Raw genomic sequence first — 16,254 nt, 5'->3', positions numbered from 1 at the left:
TGTACCCTAGAACCTAAAGTATAATTAAAAATATATATATTTTAAAAAAAAGATTGTCGATTTTATTAAAAAAAATTGTCTTCCCTGATGCATGGTTTTTGGATGCTATAGAGGGCGCCTGGAGCACCCATAGAGAGGTAAACAGGATTACCTGACATGTTTAGATACATGGGATTGCTAAAATGTTGTTTAGTCTCCCTCATGTTATATTTTAGGGAATATTATTAATATATGTTCCAAAATTGTATGGAGTTTTAAAAATTCTAATGACTAATGCTATCAATCATAATTAAGGTTGTTATGTTAAATCACTGTGAACCACAAAGATAGCCAAATTTCTTTGTCAATCATGTTTCTGACTGTTGCTACCCTGGACATTTTGTTATTCACTGACAATTGTCTTGTTTTGATTCCCTTCAAAGGGTGGTTTATAATCATTTATAGAACTTTGACAGGTGCTCTCAAATGCAGATTTCTGGTAACTTTGGAGATTGTGACATTGGAATAAAAGAAAAATGTACAGGACGTGTGAAGAGCTGAAATGCTCACGAATATCTAGCAAAACAAGAGTTAACAGAATGAACTGAACGAATAGAAAACTGAAGTAATCTTTTTGACTTCTTCTTGGAACATTGCTGATCCTTATTTTGATTTTCAGAGTCAAGGAAACTTATTTTGAGCTATTTATGGCCTTTAATAATTGAGTATGTTATAATCCTGTAAACAGAATTTGGAGCATGTATTAGTCCGTTTTCACACTGCTGATAAAGACATACCTGAGACCAAGATGAAAAATATATTTAACGGACTTAAAGTTCCACATGGCTGAGGAGGCCTCACAATCATGATAGAAGGCAAGGAGGAGCAAGTCACATCTGAAATGGATGGAGGCAGGCAAAGAGAAGGAGAGCTAGTGCATGGAAACTCCAGTTTTTAAAACCATCAGATCTCATGAGACTTAATCACTATCAGAAGAACAGCGAAATATCTGCCCCTATAATTCAATTACCTCCCACTGGGTTCCTCCCACAACATGTAGAAACTGTGGGAGTTACAATTCAAGATGAGATTTGAGTGGGGATACAGCCAAACCAGATCAGAACATATTTGTTTCTTTCTCTGCCTGACTTCTTCAGAATTTGGAAACTTAATTCTATAAATTCTGTTTGGTTCTTCTTTAAGATATGAATCTCCTTAGTACATTTTTTATTCACATTCTGAATTGATTTTTTGCTTTCTTTGTATGGTTTTCAGATTTCTCTTGGGTCTCATTGAACTTTTTAAAATTACTATTTTGAATTTTTTTTTTTTTTTTTTTTGAGATGGAGTCTCACTCTGTCACCCAGGCTGGAGTGCAGTGGCACAATCTCGGTTCACTACAACCTCTGCCTCCCGAGTTCAAGCAATTCTCCTGTCTCAGCCTCCCAAGTAGCTTGGACTACAGGCTCATGCAACCACACCTGGTTAACTTTTTGTATTTTTAGTAGAGACGAGGTTTCACCATATTGTTCAGGCTGGTCTCAGAATCCTGACCTCCAGTGATCCATCCACCTCGGCCTCCCAAAGTGCTGGAATTACAGGCATGAGCCACCCCACCCAGCTATTTTTAATTCTTTATCTGGCATTTCACAGATTTCATTTCTGTTAGAATCCATTGCTAGAGAGTTAGTGTGATCCTTTGGGGGTATCATCATAACACCTTGCTTTTACATATTTCCAATATTATTATGCTTATTCCTTCACATCTGAATTAAAAGATATTTCCTGTTTTTTAGTTTACTTTCATCTGAGTAGAGCTGCTTTTTTCTTTTTGTTCTTTCTTTCTTAAGGATGTGATTATAAAGTATGTTGAATAGAGCTATTTTGCTTTGTTTCTGGGAGCGTTCAGTGGTACAATGTCTGTATAAATCCCTTTGTAATACATCACTTTAGTGTAGTAGCTTTCTCAAATGCCAGAAGTAGTAGTCAACTCAAGTCCTCTTTAGTAGCTGGGGTGGTGTGAGTGATGATGTTAACAGAGGTCACACAAAGCTTGTCTGTTTCCTAAGCATTGTGTCAGTGTTTCAGCACGTGTTATAATTGACCTCTTCACTAGTAGGTCACTGTAGTGGTTGCACTGGGTTTATACTTGACCTGTGTTAATCAGAAATACTCTGTGTTTCAGGCAGTGGGCTGTGCTATGGAATCCCAGGGGTCCTGGACCCATGCTCTGACTTTGAAGCAGGTGATAGAGGAGCAAAGCCATGCAAGGCTGGGCTGGGTTGGGCTGGACGAGTCTGGCTTTGAATCCTCCAATGACAGATGCAAACACTGGCCCTAATGGGGTTCAGAAGGCAGTTTTTAGGCCCCAGGGGCAATGCTCCAGGAAAGAGCTGAGTAACTGCTGCTGCACCGAAGAACTAGCATAGGGAAGACTAGTTGGCTCTGGTTCTACAGCCTAACAGGCCATAGTAGAACCTTATTCCAAGACTGTCAATTGGCAGGACTCCCTCCCACTATTTGCTGCTGGGAGCAAGCTAAAACAGCCAGCCAAGTCACAAGACTTCTGTACTCAGATTGTGAAACCTTCCTGCCCAGCAAATCCATGGCTTCCAGGCCACACACCTTCTCACTGGGTATCACAAAAGGAGTCACCCAATTCTCATGCTTCTGACTAGAGCACATGCCATACCCACTCTCAATTCTGGCCATGAGAGCTTCTTCTCCACTTGATACTAGATCACAAATTCTAGTCTGGAGACTCCTCAAACCTGTGACTGCTGCTTATGCTGGCTGGCAGGTTTCTGCTCAGCCACCTACAAGTGAGGATCAGGAATGGCTTCCTTCTATTGGGACTGGGGTCTTGGGAGTACATGTGTAGGACCTCCTGCTGCTGCTCCTTCTTACATTCTCCCCACTGCTCCCCAGGTCAGATCCAGTGCTTGGTAGGAGCAAGAATCTCCCCTGTGGCCTGGATTGCCTAGCTCCTAAGTGGAAATTTGTATCACAGAGACATTCTGTTCCCATCACACACTGTGGATTCACTCATATTTTTTCCACCAGACCCACAGTGCAGGCTGCTTCCTGACTTATATTTCAAAGTATCTGAAGTTTCTTTAGCTTTTATGTTGAGCTCCCATCTTCCTTATTGTATATAAGTTCACACTGTGAATTTCTATACACTATTTTTCTATTTCCTAGTGAATGAGACATCTAACAAAGCTTCTAAGCCGACATGTTGGAGGAAAAAAATAAAAACTAAGTTCATATATTTATATACATTACAGCATGAAAAAAAATCTCAAAATAATGCTGAATTAAAGAAGCCATACAAACAAGTAACCATTGTATAATTTTATTTTCTCATAATCTAGAAAATGCAAGCTAATCTATAGTAACACAAAGCCTATCACTGTTTGCCTGGGGTGGAGGGCAAGTGTGAGTGTTGGTGCAAGAAAACAACGGAAGAAAAAAGTATAAAGTTATGGAAACATCCAGGTGTGATGTATCTACAAATTATCTTGATTGTTGTGATGTTTTGCTTGTGTACACATCACATATGTCAACACTTTTCAAATTCTATACTTCAAGAATGTATATTTTACTGCGTGTCAAATGCACCTCAATAAAGTTGTTTTAAAAAGATGGCAGTGATAAGCTGGGTTTAGAGTGGTTGTGATAAAAAATTGAAAAATAAAGAGTATTCATTTAATTAGGTAACAGGTTAGTTATCATACATGTAGCATGAATGACTGATAGTGGTGGGTGGGATGGGAAGCTAGATGAGAGAGGAATGAAGGGTGTGTAAGAATAATGTTAGAAACTAGACAATTATTGTCTCAGGACATGTGATGGTAGGAAACCATAGGAGGGTGTCAGGGAATGGAGAATGTCTACAAATTGTTATGGAGTTTCTTCATTGGATGATGAAAATATTCTAAAATTGATTGTGGTAAAGATTATGCAGCTCTGTGACATACTAAAAATGATTGGACTATTCATTTTAAATGGATAAGTTGTAGGACATGCAAATTATAGCTCAACAAATCTCTTAAAATGAATAATTACAATATTAAATAAAGAACAATGTAAGTTGATCTTTATGGAAATATAAACTTCAAAAAGGACTTTTCTGCATATGTTGAATCTGAGAGTAACAGAAGAAGATAAGGAAATATTGCTCCCATGTTTGTTTGCTTATTTTGAGGTTATAATTTTTTAGTGTATTTTAGAATTAAATAGCAGACTTTTAAACTACACTACGTACCTAATAAATATGTACGCTATTATATGTCAATTAAAAATAAAATGTAAAAAAATTAAAATAAAATAGTAGAAAGAGAGACTTAGAAATCCTGCGAAGAAAAATTTAAAAGAAAGTGAATTTTATTGGAGTTTAATTGCACAATGAAAAAATCGCGAATTGAGCAGATGCCAGAATCCCTGCAGATTCAGAGAGATTCCAGGGATGTCTCATGGTCAGAACAAATTTATAGGCACAAAAAGGGAAGTGATATACAGAAATCGGCAATGAAGTACAGAAACAGCTGGATTGGTCACAGGTTGACGTTTGCCTTATTTAAACTCAGTCTATGAATGGGGGAAGTATGGCTGCTGGGATTGGCCCAAACTCAGCAACTGTTACAGACGCCTACTCCTAGGTTAGGTTTTCTGTCTTGTCTACCTAAAGCTAAGTTATAGTTCATCCACAAAGACTCAAATATAGAAGTATGGAGTCCTTCACAGGCCGTATTTATTTTGCTTTAACCAGTCATTGAGAAGATGTTGAGGATATATGACTTTCAGGATGAAGCGATTTAATTTGGATAGGGGAAAGAACACATCTTCCATTGTAACTGGAAAGATGAAAAGGAACAGAAAATCAGTCAATAAAAGATTGACAAAAATAAGCAAACTTCTTTATGGTACACCAAGTAGTATATGATACATCAAGTAATCTTTGGCATAGAGACTATAGAAAATAATTTTAAGTAAATTTAAAAAATACTTTTCTAAAATAAAGATCATACTAAATATTTATATAGCTATTATAAGAAATATTTTCAGAATCTGCTTTAATGAAATATTCCCATTAAAAGTGATTTTTGTGTGACCCAACAATTTGTGTAAGTTACACAAATTCTATAAATTCACTTCTCTACAAACATAAAATATAAGGGCAATAAAGGTAAATACACTGTGGATTGTGAAGCTAAATTATTTTAAAATTATGAATGTCTCATATAAAAGGCACTGTGAGAAAAGAGAGACATGCTAAATATCATTTTATTATTCAAGGATGCTAAAATATATACACAATATTTAAAACAGCAAATTCAAAGTATTGAGAAATGTTTTAAAATTGTATTTTTAAAAGTATGCATATTTTAGTCCACTGAATCAGATGTGGAAACTAAAAAGGTACTGTAATTACCTGGAGCACATAATTAATACACTCTGTTGATCAATTCGATTGTTTAATTAGGTAATCAGGTAAGTACAGCTTGACTAAGCCTGCCAAATTGTGGGCTTATAATATAAAGAATAATATTGTATTCAAACTGAGCAACTAAACATAATTGATAATTATAAAGTCAATGTAAACTTTCTATCTCCATTTAATAACCAATAGAGTTATGAGTAATAATCAGGAATTCAATATATCCTTTCTATACATTAATAATAATCACCTCAAATGCACTTTCTTTCTTTGATTTCAATAGCAGAAAAAAGGCAATTTAATTGTTGATACAGAAGAAATACATGAACATGTTTTTTGATTAAATATGATGTAAAACTCTACTCTTTTGTTTGATACATCTTAAATTACCTGACCGCTTTTAAAATTTTATAAACTTGGTTATTTGTGGTGACTTACATGAATGGTATTTAGCACAATAAAAATAGCATCTGACAAAAAAAAGACATAAAAGAAGTGATACCTAATCAAAAAGTTAATTACTAATAACAGTAATTTATTAGTCTCCATATCAATTGCCTTATTATGTTTTCTGTATATCCACTGCTATACACAGACAGAAATAAACAAAAAAGTGAGATATTCAGATTCACAGGGTTTCTAAAGCAGACTTAATTAAAAATATTTTCATATGATCTACTAAAACTCAAAAGTTGTTTAGAGTAAATGAGCCATTTTTTTCAGTTAAACTAAGAAAAAAAATTATGCCTTATTATTTTAAAATTAAGCATTTGTAAACTGCAGATTCATATGCTTCCAAATAATTATATTTAAAATTTCTCCAGTGTTAGTCACTGAAGGTGTTCTTTGAATTTTTTGGTTGAATTATTCGGTTTACTATACAGTACTCAAAATGGTAAATAACAGATGGAAGAAATGCATCTTCCTACAAAACCATGGGGGAAAAAAGCATAAAGCAGAGAAAATGTTGGTTAAAAAATCTAAATATCGTACAATTCATCAAGCTCTTTTCTTCATAAAACTTTTGATCACTAAATATGTGTTTTAATTACTTCCTAGAGGGTTACAATGATTCCAAATTCACAGTTTGCTTCGTGGGTCATTCCATATGTTTATGGGTCTCTGTATGATGAAAGATTTCTTGACATCTGTTCTACATTCTTCCTAAACCCATTTGTGACACATTGTTTTGTTCATGGTGGAAATAGGAGAGTATCAACTTGAGTTCATTGTGCTTTTCAGAAACACTAAGTTATGAAAAACTTATTTGCTCTTTCGGCTTCAAGCCTCATTTCTTATGTAACTTTTCCTTCTCCTATATATCACCAGTTATTCTTCCCTGCCTGTTTCTATAAATGAAGAGTCCTTGTTCTTATTTAAAGCCAATGCCTCCATTTGTGCATTGCATCTTTATCTTCCCCTACGCCTTCTGAAAGACCTGGTTCCAGCAATTCTCCCTTCTTCCTCTCAGAATATTTTCTCTCTTTACTTGACTATTTCCATTGACAGAAATTTGTTTTTATCTCTCCCATTTTTTAAAAAAGCAATATTCTCTTTTCCCCTGTTAGTTACAGTTCCAATCGATATCTCTTATTTGCCAGGAGTTTACAAAAGTCCTGGAAAAGGTTTTCTGTACTCTGTTTGTAATTTTACTTATCCCTTTTTTCTTGCTCTGTTGACCACACTGGAGGGCAGTGAAATGATCTCGGCTCACTGCAACCTCTGCCACCTGGGTTCAAGCGATTCTCCTGCCTCAGCCTCCCGAATAGCTGGGATTACAGCCACTGTGCCCAGCTAATTTTTTGTATTTTTAGTAGAGACGAGGTTTCACCATGTTTGCCAGGCTGGTCTTGAACCCCTGACTTCAGGTAATCCGGCAGCCTTGGCCTCCCAAAGTGCTGGGATTTCAGGCATGAGCCACCGTACCCAGCCCCTTTTTTCCTTAAATTTACTTTAAAAAGGAATTTACAGCCATCACTCTAGTGAATTTTTTTTTTTTTTAAACAAGGTCATGAATGATCTCTGCATGTTTCAGCCTAGTGGTGTTTTTACCTTATTTGGCATACCATCAGCATTTGAGCCTTCTACTCACTTTCTTTACCTGACATTTTTTAATATGCTACCTCTTGGTTGTCTTCTTATATAATTGGCCTCTCCTTCTAAGTCTCCTGTGTTTGTTCCTGTCTTCTCTTTTTCTCTTTATTTTGAAATGTCACAAACTATTCTCTGTTCCACTTTGTTCTCTCTATGTACTTTTACTGGCTAGGTGATCATGTTCAATTCTGTGGTTTAAAACACAAACAAACAAAACCATAAACTGAAGATAAACAAATCTGTTTGTGTAATTTGGCTCACCCTCCCTACAATAAAATGTAAGCTCAACTATAAAAGGTTTTGTGTTACTGAACCATTCCAGTGACCTAAAACTATTTATCCCAAAGTAGATGTCCAGTATATATTTGTGTAATGAGCTTATTAATCTTGTGTTTTGAATGCCTAACAAAAACAACTGGTATAAAACAGACACTAAATTAATATTAGGGTATATATGCATACACGTATTCATAAATGAATGAGAGTTTCAACAAAAGAGACTTGGTGACATATAATGAAAGGTGGCTTAGAATATTTAGAAAATTTTATTAGTAGTAAATGTTAATTAATATTAATTGAAAAAATATTAATTGAAATTTAAAAACCATTATATTCAATAAATATGGAATATTAGTTGAATTTGTAAACACTACAATAAATGTTAGCTTTGTTAGCAAAATGGATAGATTAAATGAAAAGAGAAAAAATGACATAAATATGTCATAGAATGGTTTCATAGTTGAGGAATTTGAGCCAATATGTGCAGACGGGGCTTTAAAAATTATGAAAAGCATAATTAAGAGGAAAATGTTCATGGACTTTGTAGGGGACTTTTTACTTTTAATTTGTGGGCAAAAATGAGGGAGTATCTAGAGAAAAATACTAAAGTTGTATTGAAGACTGAAAAGAACTAGAATAGCATTCTGATAAACAGAGGGATTAAAAAGTATCTGGAAAGAGAGAAATACAGAACAAAACAAACATGGAAACATTGTTTATTGCTTGGATGGCTCTGTGATATGATATGTGTATCATTTTGCTTTTATTTAATGCTACTATAATGCCTGCAAACTAGACATTATTATCTCAAATGAAAATCATCCTCCTCCTCAATATCCCTGGACTATTTTTTTTCTTCTCTGGGTTCTTATCTTAATTAAATGGCTCCAATGTTTCACTTAGTTTCTCAGTCTTGAAAGTTTGTGGTCACAGTTGATTCCTTTCTCTTCATTAATTTATTCACAACCCATGATTTGCATTATTATAGTAACTATATTTACAGCCTGTAGTTGTACAATATAATTGGTGACAAAGTGCTTTGTAAGCATTAACTAATTTAATCCACATGACACAATATAATTGGTGACAAAGTACTTTGTAAGCATTAACTAATTTAATCCACATGACCACCCTGTGTTTGATATATTATTATTATTTAATAGATAAGAGTGATTTCGATTGTAGTTCAGAATACATATTAAAGCATAGATACCTAATACATTACAAAATCAAAGTTTAAACTCTAATTTTTCTGCCACCAAAGTCCACATGGCTGATCATTCTGTGGTATTGCTACATAGTGTTTCTAGATTCTACTTAGATCTATTTTAATTGCCCTTTTATAGTCTCAATTAGCATTATATCTCATTTGTATATTACAACAATTTACTAACTTGGCTTTCTACATCCGCTCTTGTTCCCCTCAAGCACGTCCCTCCCACTGAACTCAGACAGATATTTGTAAATTTAAAATATAATCATGTTATCCCTGTTCCAAAACACATCAAATGGCTACTTTCTTTCTTTAGGAAAAAAGCTTAAACAAAAACTCATGGTGGACATAATTTTGAGCTTTGCGATAACTGTTGACAACTTTGTCTTGGGTCAATCAGCTTTCATTTCTCACTCAAAGTAGGACTTTCTTCCTTTTGTTGCTCTTTCAAGCTATTCACATAGTTCCTTTTGCCCAAATTAAAAGCTCTTTGCCCATACCTTTTGGTTACCTAAATATGCTCAATCTCTAAATTTCAGTTTAAACATTGTTTCCTCACAGATGGCTAAGATTTCACTGTCATGTGACCCAAAGCACTGTGCAGGTTTTCATAACCTTCATTCCCTTTCTAAATGACTATCTGATTTCTGGTTTTCCCATTAGTTAATAGCCTCTGTGAAGACAGGAACCAAATTTATCTTGTTCATTGATCCCCGACTCCACACTCCTAATACCTAGCCCGTCACTTGTTCAGAGTTCTCAGTGAAGAATAAATCAATTGCAATTAGAAACACATTGGAAGTTCTAAATTTCTTCATCTTATATTGTAATAGCTACAACATTGTGAATATACATCTTTCATTCTGTAATCATGTGCTAAATATTAAATGTTCATAATATGTAGAATTTATTTTTGTATTATCAGTGTGTACATCTCAAACTAATTTGAAAACACCAAAAATATAATGTTGCAAAACCACTGAGCAACATTGTTCTGTCATTAATTATAGAAATTACAATGTTTCACTTTTTCAGCAAAAATAATATTTCCATTATTTTTTCTTCTGAAAATTGCAAGCTCATATGTACATACAGGCATGCCTTGTGTTATTGCACTTTGCTTATTACATTTTGTAGATGTTACAGTTTTTAGAAATTGAAGCTTTCTGGCTACCAGGTGTGGAACATGCATCTATCAGCACCAGTTTTCCAACAGCGTGTGCTCACTTTGTGTTGCTATGTCACATTTCGGTAAGTCTTCAATATTTCAAACTTTTTTGTTGTTGTTATATCTGTTTTAATGACCTATGATCAGCGATCTCTGATATTATTATTGTAGTTGTTTTGATGGCAGTCCATAAGATGGAAAACTTAATCAACAAATGTGTGTGTTCTGACTCCTCCACAGGCTGGCCATTGTCCTCTCTGTAATCCTTTCTTCCACCCTCCCTATTTGCTGAGAAACAATAATACTGAAATTAGGCCAATTAATAAACCTACAAACATTTCTAAGCGTTCAAGAAAGAGCTGCATGTCTCCCACTTTTAAGCAGAAGCTTGAAATGATTAAGCTGATGTGAAGAAAGCATCTTGAAAGCCAAGATATGTTGAAAGCCAGGCCTCTTGCACTACAATTAGCCAAGTTGTGAATGCAAATGAAAAGTTATTGAAGACACTTAAACATATTACTCCATTGCACACAAGTGATAAGAAAGCAAAACTATGTAATTGCCGATGTGGAGAAAGTTCTAATGGTCTCAATAGAAGCTCAAACCAGTCACAAGAATCCCTTTAGCCAAAGACCAAAACGGAGCAAGGCCCTAACTCTTTTCAATTCTACAAAGGCTGTGAGAGGTGAGGAAGCTGCAGAAAAAAACCTTGAAGCTAGCAGCTATTGGTTTATGAGGCTTAAAAAAGAAGCCATCTCTATGTCATCAAAGTTAAGCAGCAAGTGTTAATGTATATGCTACAGCAAGTTACCCAGAAGATTTAGCTAAGATAATTGATGAAGGTGGCTACTTTAAACAACATATATTCAATATAGATCGAACAGCCTCCTCTTGGAAGAAGATGCCAGCTGGGACTTTCACAGCTAGAAAGAAATCAATGCCCGACTTCAAAGCTTCTAAGGACAGTTTGACTCTCATTAGAGGATAATGCAGATGATGGCTTTGGATGAAGCAAATGCTTATTTACCATTTTTAAAATCCTAGGGCCCTTAATAATGATGCTAAAATCTATCCTGCCTATGGTCTAGAAATGGAACGACTCCTGGATGAGAGCACATCTTTTTTACAGCATATTTTACTGAATATTTTAACCCCACTGTTAAGATCTACTGCTCAGAATTTTTTTTTTTCAAAATGTTACTGCTCTTCGACAATGTATTTGGTCACCCAAGAGCTTTGATGCAGATGTATAAAATTAATGGTTTTTTTATACCTCCAAACACAACATTCTTTCTGAAGCACATGGATCAAAGAGTAATTTTGACTTTTAAGTCATAGAGTTTAATAAATATATCTTTTAAGTCTATAGCAGCCATAGATAGTAATTACACTGATGTTTCTGGACAAAGTAAACTGGAAACCTACTGGAAGTGCTGCAGCATTTTAACTGCCATTAAGAACATTCAAAAACAAAATTAGCCAGGAGTCGTGGCAGGCACTTTGTAGTCCCAGCTACTCGGGAGGCTGAGGCAGGAGAATGGCGTGAAGCCAGGAGGCGGCGCTTGCAATGTAGCCGAGATCGTGCCACTGCACTCCAGCCTGGGCGACAGAGCAAGACTCCATCTCAAAAAAAAAAAAAAAATTCATAATTCATAGGCAGTTGTCAAAATATCAAAATTAACAGGAGTTTGGATGAAGTAGATTACAACCTACAGGAATGACTTCAAGCAGCTCAAGACTTCAGTGAAGGAAGTGACCTGCAGATGTGGTAAAAATAGCAAGAGAACTAGAATTAGAAGTGGAATTTAAAGATGTGACTGAGTTGCTGCAATCTCACAATTAAAACAAATGAGGAGTTGCTTCTTATGGAAGAACAAAGAGAGTTGTTTCTTGAGATGGGAACAACTCCTGGTGAGCATGCTGTGAACATTGTTGAAAAGACAGAAAAAGATTTAGAATATTCCATAAACTTTGTTAACAAAGCAGTGGCAGGGTTTGAAAGGATTTGTTCTAATTTTGAAAGAAGTTCTACTCTGGGTAAAATTCTATCAAACAGCATCACATGCTAACAAAATAAAGGATAAATGCTTCAGGTGATGGACACTCCATTTACTCTAATATGCTTTCAGACATTGCATGCCTGTTTCAAAATATCTTATGTACTCCATACATATATACATCTACCATATACCCACCAAGACAAGTTACTTGATATAGCAAATGTGATTGTTGCCCTTTTTTAAGAAATTTCTCACCTACTTCAACCTTCAACAAACACCTCTCTAATCAATCAGATTGGTCAACACTGAGATAAGACCTTCCACCAGCAAAAAGATGACAACTCATCGAAGACTCAGATAACAGCAATTTTTTAAGAAATAAAATAGATTTAATTAATGCATGCACATTGATGTTTAGATATAATGCTATAGTACACTTAATAGATAATGGTATAGTGTAAACATAACTCTCATATGCAATGGGAAACCAACTCACTTTAATGTGATATTTACTTCACTGTGGTGGTCTGGAACCTACCCACAATATACCTAAGGTATGCCTGTATTTTCTATATTTTTATTAAATTAATCTTCAACAATATCCATTGTTTGAATTGGTGATGATAGCATAAAATCAAGGCTGCTAAGCAGCACACACCATAGCCACCACTACACCTTTTGTGAGATAAGATGACACATGATCATTACAAGAATGTACATTTTATATTTAACATCCTGAAAGGAAAACATTGACTATGAATCATTCTTTTTATTGTACTTATTAGAAGCATACCAGCTAATATTTTGAATTGATAATTATGCATCAGGCAGTGTCCTAAATATTTTTGAATGTATTAATATCTTAAACCTCATAAAACCCCCATGATATTGTACAGCATTTATAAAAACTTGATAACTAAAGAAGAGACAGCTGGTTGGTTTGTTCAAGGTGGTGTTGTAAGGGTGGTTTGCTGCAGAGCCAGAGTCCTTAAACTCTGTTTCATAATCACAAAATGTTATATTTAACCATTTTTAAATAAAAGGTTAAGATTAAATGCTATATTCAACCATTAAAAAATAACTTTATAATTTATTTTCCACATCTGAATGTCATATATATAAATATATACTATATACACACACCTAAATATATATACACACACACATATTACATTACTTTATTTTTTATCTTAAATTTCAGTTCACGATTATGAATTTACTCCCTAAATTCACTTTGTAAATTATTAATCATTACTTATTATATAGACATTTTAGACATATTAACGTTTTTAAAAATTATGTTTTATCATTTTATTTGCTGATTAAATTGTCTTAATATATCATGGCATCCTCATACTTAAATTTATTATAAATTTTACTAAAATGTTTTCCAAGAATATTCATGACTTGCATGAAATAAAGAGAAATAAAATGCAACAAAATGAATATCTATGAAATGAATATCTAGAAGCAGATTTTAGAAGAAATTCATAACCTTGGACGGGGTATGCTTAATGTGTTCTCGAAAAAGCATAGATACTGTTTAGTTGGAGTAGAATAAAGGAAAGCATTGGCCAAAAACACATTTAAAAAGTCACTATTCTCCTTGAATAACCTTGTAAATTCAGGCAAGGCTTTGCATTTATATCTAAATATCTGGAGAAGTCTCTGAAGAGATTTAAGTGGAGAAGCATCTCATTGGAGGTTTATTTTTATTCCTTATTGGAGAATGTGTAATAGGAGGCTGGACTCAAGAATGAAGAATGACAGACTAATTGAATGTAAGTAATAGTAGTGGCTTGAACTTGCAAATAATTTTGAAATTTTTGAAACAATTATCTGACAAGATGTATCATTCAAAAATATAATTTGAACTCCTGGCTCTCTTTTCTCTCTTCCCTGACACCGTATGAGATGTGACTTGCTCCTCCTTGTCTTCCACCATGATTGTGAGACCTCCCCAGCCATGTGAAACTGAGTCCATTAAACCTTTTTTTATATATAAATTACCCAATCTCAGATATGTCTTAATATATTATCAGCATGACAATGGACTAATACATAGGGAATGACTATATAAAGATCTTTGAGATATCCCAGTTCTGGTTAACCAGAACTGCTAATGGATGAGCTATGGTGTAGTAGAAGAGAGGAAAAAAAAATGATGATAACTACATTTGGAAAGGATGGGGCTTAAACAACCAGGTAGGGTCATTTTCAGAAATTGTGAACTGTGGAAAAGGAACTGATAGGTGGAGGGAAATGAAAGAATAATTTTGGAAATGTCAGGACAGACTTTTAATTAACTTATTTATTATTTGTATATATTTAAAGGGTACAAATGAAATAAGATATCCTAGCATCTAAAAGAGACAAAGAGACCACAGCACTGGAATCTAAGAAGGAATGGCAAATGTTGTACTGAAAAATTTTGGTATATGAGTGAAGTAAAAAAAGAAGTTCAAGTATAATTAACTAGTTATAATGAATCTGATTCTGATTGCAGTTAATTCAGGTGTGACTGAATGATAAGAAAAGTGAACTAGTCTTAAGAAAACTACAAGTTTTACTGAAGACTGACAGAAAATTAAGGGGAACATGGAAAAAGGAGAGGATTAAGTTTAAGGCTGATCATAACATCTGTATCTACATCTATATCTATCTAATATGTCTATCTATCTATCTATCATCTATCTTTTTGTTTTTTGAGACACGGTCTTACTCTGTCACTGAGGCTGGAATGCAGTGGTGCAAACATGGCTCACTGCAGCCTCAACATCTCAGGCTCAAGCAATCCTCCCACCTCAGCTTTCTGAGTAGCTAGGACCACAAGTGGACACCATCACACACTGCTAATCTTTTATTTTTTTATTATTTGTAGAGGCGGAGTCTCACTATGTTGACCAGGCTAGTCTCAAACTCCTGGGCTCAAGTGATCCTCCCACTTCAACCTCCCAAAGTGCTGAGATTACAGGCATGAGCCACCTTGCCTGGGCTATCTATCTAAAAAAAGAATGTAGAAGACAAAGAATGTTTATAGAAATAAACTCCCAAAAGTATAAAAATAAAAGGAATCTGAGTTCCCATCTCCACCGTTTCATCTCCTCCATTCCAGGAGCTCCTGGGTGACTCTACCATAGCACCTGCCATCCTGTGACTTGCAGGTAATGGGAGATCCATAGGGAGGATGCTGGAACATCTGGAGGCTGATAAATGGTCTTGCTACCTCTAAGCCAGACTTATTCATCTGTCTGCAGCAAAGAAAAGAGCCCTGGAATTTAAAGAGATAATGTGTCTGGAATTTATTACTTCTGGTGGGTTCTTGGTCTCGCTGACTTCAAGAATGAAGCTGTGGACCTTGTGGTGAGTGTTACAGCTCTTAAAGGTGGCACATCCGGAGTTGTTTGTTCCTTCCAGTGGGTTCGTGGTCTTGCTGACTTCAGGAAAGAAGCCACAGACCCACCCTCACAGTGAGTGTCACAGCTCTTAAAGGTGGCACAGACCTAAACAGTGAGCAGCAGCAAGATTTATTATGAAGAGTGAAGGAACAAAGCTGGAAGGGTACCGAGCAGGTTACTGCTGCTGGCTCGAGTGGCCAGCTTTTATTCCCTTATTTGGCCCTGCCTATGTCCTACTGATTGGTCCATTTTACAGAGTGCTGATTAGTCCCTTTTTACACAATGCTAATTGGTGCATTTACAATCCTCTAGCTAGACAGAAAAGTTCTCCAAGTCCCCACTGGACCCAGAAGCCCAGCTGGCTTCACCTCTCAATAGGAGACAGTAGCCAAGCACACAGTTGGGTATGGGGGTAAATGCCTATTGTCCTAACTGCTCAAAAATACAAGATTTATGTTTGGGATCATCATGACAGACAGGAGGCAGGACTAGATTGCAGCTCCAATTCGAATGGACAGAACAGCATGCAGAGGCTTGCATCATGAACTTTAGCTCCATAATGACTGCAAGAACGAACCAGGAATTCCAAGAGGACCCATAGACCCTGCGAAGGAAGTGGACTGCCACTGTAGGACCCAGGAGACACCCCAAACACTGTGAGTGCCCAAACTGTGGAAGTGGGA

The sequence above is a fragment of the Homo sapiens genome, chromosome 13 (genome assembly GCF_000001405.40).
Source record: "Homo sapiens chromosome 13, GRCh38.p14 Primary Assembly".
In the NCBI taxonomy this organism is placed as follows: domain Eukaryota; kingdom Metazoa; phylum Chordata; class Mammalia; order Primates; family Hominidae; genus Homo; species Homo sapiens.
The sequence above is the reverse complement of the archived record's forward strand: the minus strand, read 5'-3'. Positions refer to the sequence as shown.